Genomic DNA, 5,994 nt, shown 5'->3' with positions numbered 1-5,994 from the left:
GCAAAATTCCTCCAAAAATTAGCAAATGAATTTTTTAAAGTATTGATATAAAAGGAAATATATACCACAACCAAGTGGAATTTATTCCGGGTATGCAAAGAGAATTCAACATTCAAAAATCGATCGGTGTAATCCATCTTATCATTAGGAAATCCTAGATAATAAATTCTAGATGAGCAAAAGTGTAAAAATCTTAGGAACCAAAAGTAAAACAGCAATAATCATGACAACAACAACTAAAACTACTCAGCAAGTTGTAAGGAAGCAAGTAGACCACTTTATTTACTGCCTCGCCAGTTCAGCCCACTCTCTATGAGGACCCAAGAGAAAAATGATAAATGATAAGCTATTTAGTCTTGTTGAGGACCAGTTTTCTTTTGTCTGTGAAATGGGCATACACACAGAAAGACTTCCTTCTTCCCCTTTTGCATAGTCTAAATGAATATCTTAAAATACAGCTGTTTGTATACCCATTTGTATACCCAGACTAAAGAAAACTGGTCCTCAACAAGACTAAATAGCCTTCCCTGGGTCAACTCATGAGTAGCAGACACAGGTAAGGATGACAGGTGCGGTAGCAAAGCATTACCAATGAGACAGGCTGGGTCTTAGATATTAGGTAAGATGAAAGTACCACAGAACAAAAGAGCTGTCTGGGAAATTTATAGGTAGGGATGGGCAAAGAGGCCTATATTTGGAAAAAGTGTAGCAATCCTCACCACACAAGAGGACATGTCAATAACCCTCTTGCCTTCTTCCTCCTTGACACATGAACAGTGCAATCGCAGAACTCATGGAGCTCAAAATCTGACGCAGACAAGAGGCACATATGACACCACATAGTGCACAGGAAATGCAGGGTGCTATGGCAATACTGGTACGGTGGGGCACAATGGACTGGGCGAACTGATAAAAGATGTCATAGAGAATATAATAAGCAAGCTGAACTTTGCAGGACAAACCGACATCAAATGACCTCAACTCAACTCTTTCATTAAATAATTGTGTGACCCTGGATAAATCACATAACCTCTCCGGACTTTGCAATTTTCATCTGTAAAACTGAAGGAGTAAGAAGGATAGTTTCTAAGGGTTTTTTCAGTTCCATCAGTCAATAATGATGTAACTCTGTAACAGAATGGAAATATTGTTCAATTCTTTTCCTAACGTTTCTCATGTATGCTATGTTTTTCCTTTCCCTTTTGCTTGCTTTGGCAATCCACATTACCCTGCCACACCCTCCACCACCACTAGAAAAAAAGAGGAAGCAAAAGGAAGGTTTAAAAATGGCAAGTACCTTTACTCTTAGCTAAGTTTAACATGCTTTTAGTCATCTGCTGTGGATTATTTTGGCTTTATACTCTATTTACTCTGTCAATCAATAAAAAAAGTACCACTCACCACACCACCAACCACAGCATATGTGTGCAGACTCTAGTATGGAAAGAGAGAAATCTTTTTGTGGGGTTTTAGAAAAAGCTATTAGCTATATAGGATTTTACTAATATTTTTGGTATTTCAACACAGAACTTCAAACCTTTGACATACGGAATTTCTAAGAATTCTATTAAGTTTGTGTGAACTATCATATTTTATTATTAAAGGGCTATTTTTCTCAGATACAGTAAAGAGCGGAAAACAAGGCATGATGAAAAATGCTGAGTCATTGTAAAAGACAAACCAATAAAGGAAAGTGCTGGGAAAGTGATACAGGTACGTATCTCAGATTCTGGCTGCATCTAAAGGGCAGAGATGAATTATAGAATGAACATATGCTAATCCAGTTGCTAAAGACCACTTTTCCATTACCAGAAAAGGAAAACCATCATTCTTGTGAACATGTTCAGTCATGCAGGTGAGCTGGGATCAAATCTACAGAGAGGCACACAGCCCCAGTCTTTGAGAGAGCAGAATACTAGACCCAGCTTCTGAGTGCTATGTGACTTTGCCAAACTTTTTAGGTTTCTCTGAATTTCAGCCCCCTTGTGTACAAAATGAAGTTCTGGGATTTTCTGGTGCCTAAAGTTCTTTGGGATGCAGAGTAGGGAGTGAAAAAAAGAGGTTTCAGGTCACAGTAATCTGGGTTCATTCATTCATGTATTCTTTCAATCCTCAAGTCTATGTAAAATGACCACTAAATGCAAGGCCCTAAGGATCTGACAGTAAGTAAAAGCAGACATGAAGATATTAAGAAATAAGCAAACCAATGAAAATAAAGGTGTAACCCTGGTGTGGGCAGTGGAGAGATGTGTGAGACCCGGAGAACTATGGTAAGTGCTAACTGAAGCTGTACATGTGATTGAGATAAGATGGGGAACAGTATACAGTATCCCAAAATGTGGTACCTTGGTATCTGAGAAAACAGAAGCAAGGAAGTCTCTCCCACCTTCCTATCACCGTTCTCCCTTGAAGTAAGCCATAAAACCTAGGAAGGTCACTCTCTGATCCTCTCCCTTCCTTCTCCCCTGAAGCAGGTCATAAGACCATCATTCAAAAGATACCCCCCCATACCTGGAGAAAAGGAACATCCCTATCTCTGAAGAATCAGGGACGTTGAGAAGAATCTGAACAAATAGGCCTTGCTAAGTTGATGTATTATCATTAAATGGTATTCCCTTTGTCCAATCATACTTATCCATTACTATTGACTTCTTTGTCAAACCTAACATAAAAATGTACAGCTTTCCCTGTTTCCTTGGCTCCCCATTTCTGAAGGTTCTCATGTCATATAAAACTTACATTAAATAAATCTGTATAATTGTCTCTTATTAATCTTTAAGAACCACAGCCATGAACCTAGTGATAGGTAATAAATAAATAAATAAATAAATAAATAAATAAATAAATCACCTATCACTTTTCTTTTCCCCTAAAGGTAAAAGAGAAAAAATAGAAGAGAAGATGCCTCAGGCCCAGTCTTGAGGAACTTCAAAACATACCTAATGAAAAAGACAAGCCTCCAAGAAATAAAAGAAAAGCCAGAGAAGATGGAGGGACTCAGGAGAGTGAAGTATTACTGAGAACAGAACAGGGTCTTTCAAACAGGGGAGTCATGGTAAACACTGTGGAATACTGCTGAAAGGTCAACCAATATCAGAACTGAGAAATGTCCATTGCACTCAGTGACATGAATGCTATTGGTGACCTAAACAAGGGGTGTTACAAAAGAGTTGGAGGGGAGGAGTTTATTTGCTTTTATTTGCCTTGTAACTCTTTTCAGGCCAATTTGAGCCTCAATTTCCCTAGCTATAAACATGGAGCTAACCACAACCTATTTCAGAGAGAATTCCACAGTGTTTGTCACAGTATGTGTTCATTAAATATTTCCCTGCATATTCGAGTTTTATCCAAGAGATACTGCTTTTACTGTATTAATTCAGATTTCACTTGTCCCAAATTTTTCTTGGTGTGGTTAATCAGAATAACAGATATGGAATTTACCCCATAATGAATTATACTATAACAGATTTTGAGTAACAATCTACATAAAAGTATGGATATGCAAGCAAATAAAATCAAAATAAAAATATTGTTGAGTAAGTAATTCAGAGGATTACATAATAGACCTTATGGGATGATCACAGTGTTGACAGCACAGTTGCCATCATCACTTTAAACATATCTTTCTTCCCATCAAACTTTCAACTCCCAAGATGACATCTTACTTACTCCATTCACCTGCAAGAATTAAAAGTCCCACCTAGATCTCTACCAGTTGACATCCTTCATCAAATAAACACCATCCAGGAAACTAAGCAGAATTTTCCTCTTGCCTCAGCTTTAGCAGGGAAACAGGAACCAAGATTAACTTTGGCTCCATGCCTGTTATACCTCAATCACAGGTTTAGGTGTTTACAGAAGACATCTCATCTAAGCACCTAGCAATTCTGCCAGGTAGTTATGACTAGTCCCAACAGATGATGAAACTTAGGCTTGCTGAGCTTAAATAATTTACAGTTATAAGGCTGGTACATGGCAAAGCTAGGATCTGAAATCAGATATCTCTGGTTCTAAAACCTAAGTTCTTTTTGCGACATCATTTTTTTTATCCACAAACTCAATGGTGTAGCAATGTTAAGCGGGGCAGAAGGAAGAGTCTAATAATAACACTAACAATAAAATAATATGTTATCTGTAGACAGTGTTGCCAGATTTAACAAATAAAAATACAAAAGGTCAATTTGAATTTCACATAAATAACCATTTTTTTTTAGTATAAGTATGTCCAATATGTGAGACATACCACACCTAAAAAATTATTTGCTGTTTATCTGAAATTCAAATTTAACTGGGCATCTTGTTCTTCACCTGGCAACCCCTTCTGTAGGGAATTTTAAAATGAGAATAAAATTATCTAAAAGCTGGCATGTTTTTGTTATTACCATACACCTACAATTTTAAACAATGTCCATGACAGAGTATTTTTCCCTGATGGGGAATTCTTGTACACCAATTTCCCCAACACACTTCTATTCACCACTACCCTAACTTTTCCACAGAATTTCAGTGCCTCATGAGGTGTTAAAGTCTGGTGGATAATCTGCAGAGTTGGCCACCATGAATTATTTTCCTTCCTGAATGTCCACATGTCTCTATCAAGACATAGATTCTAATTCCCCTCCCCTTGAATCTAGGGTGGTTTTGGGCCTTGCTTGACCAAACAACTGTGTCAAAAATGATGTTCTGGGACTTCCAAGGCTGGATTATTGGAAGCCATGGAGCTTTCCCCTGGGAGTCCAAGAATGCTCCTTCACAGAATGTAAGAGAAGCCAAAAGCATGAAAACAGATGTAGATAAGTGTCCTTGCTGACAACCTCATCTGAGGTCTTAGGCAACAGCCACCATCTACTGCCATTCACATAAATGTGTAGGCTAGTTACATCTTTAGATAACTCATCCTCAGCCTATCTGATTGCAACTGCAAAAAAGAATCCATGCTAGAACCACCCAATTGAACCCAGTAAGCCTGAACTATGACAGATAGTAATAAATTGTTTTAAATCAGGGGATGTTATGTGATGCAGCAATAAATAAATGGGAGATTAAAATTTCCTGTAAGAAAAATGGGAGTTCCACATATATAACAATTTTGGAAAGACTGAAATTATAAATTTATCTTGAGATTCACAATGCATAAGTGCTTATCAAAAGTTCTGGGAACTCCTGTCAAAAAAGAAACTGTTTAATTTTGTTCAATTTAATATTCTTACATGTATCTAGTCAAATAATCCATGCTCTATAAAACTTTCATTAACATTTTGTGAAACTATGTCCCAGGGAAACACAGTTTAGGAAACCCTGCACTATTCCATGCTATTTCCCATCAAAAGTGGCTGCCTGAATAAGCTATTGTTTCCAAACTACTGAAATGACGAATCTTGCTAAAAGGGTGGTCTCTAAAAGTGAACTAAGATGTGGAAAAGATAGATTTTACAACATACATGGCAGTTACATTTGCTGAACAAAAAATAGGAACATATATTCTGATTGGAAAGGATATACATATGGGGAAAATGGGAAGGAGTATTGAAATGCAGATGGTCTATTTCAGAAAACCCGGGATGGAAAATAGCTGAAGAAAAGTGTTTCCTGTATTTTTAATAGAAAGGTCTCAATATAGTAGCCTTCCATCTTAATACAAGCTGGAGAATTCAACTCAAAGTTTCACTTCACAATTTGAATTGCTTGGCTTGGGTACAACTGGCAATCTAACTCAAATCCTAACTTTAAGTTATGCTGCATAGATAGAGCTTTACTTGTAAAATAAATCACAGTTAAAGTACAGGGAATATTTGTCTCCAACCATTTGTCTGAAAAGGATCTTGAGTAATAAAACTATAATTTTCTAGCAATTCTTGGCATATATACCAGTCGACACATTTTCCCTCTTTAGTTCATGATTGTAGGCTGAAAGGTATTTTTTAACTCCTCAATTATCTTCTTTTAATAAATCATAAAGATAGCATATTCTTTTGCAGGTTTTCTTAAATATGC

General features: G+C 36.9%; 1 annotated feature.

The window, feature by feature from the left end:
• Positions 1,104 to 2,303: an enhancer, noted in NCBI's record as "MED14-independent group 3 enhancer chr3:28992829-28994028 (GRCh37/hg19 assembly coordinates)". NCBI's record gives its function as "activates an origin of replication core promoter dependent on BRD2, BRD4, P300/CBP and CDK7 cofactors, and independent of MED14, by STARR-seq in HCT116 cells {active_cell/tissue: HCT116}" and the evidence as "EXISTENCE:reporter gene assay evidence [ECO:0000049][PMID:35650434]".

The sequence above is a fragment of the Homo sapiens genome, chromosome 3 (assembly GCF_000001405.40).
Source record: "Homo sapiens chromosome 3, GRCh38.p14 Primary Assembly".
In the NCBI taxonomy this organism is placed as follows: Eukaryota; Metazoa; Chordata; class Mammalia; order Primates; family Hominidae; genus Homo; species Homo sapiens.
This window is presented reverse-complemented; position numbering and strand designations above follow the sequence as displayed.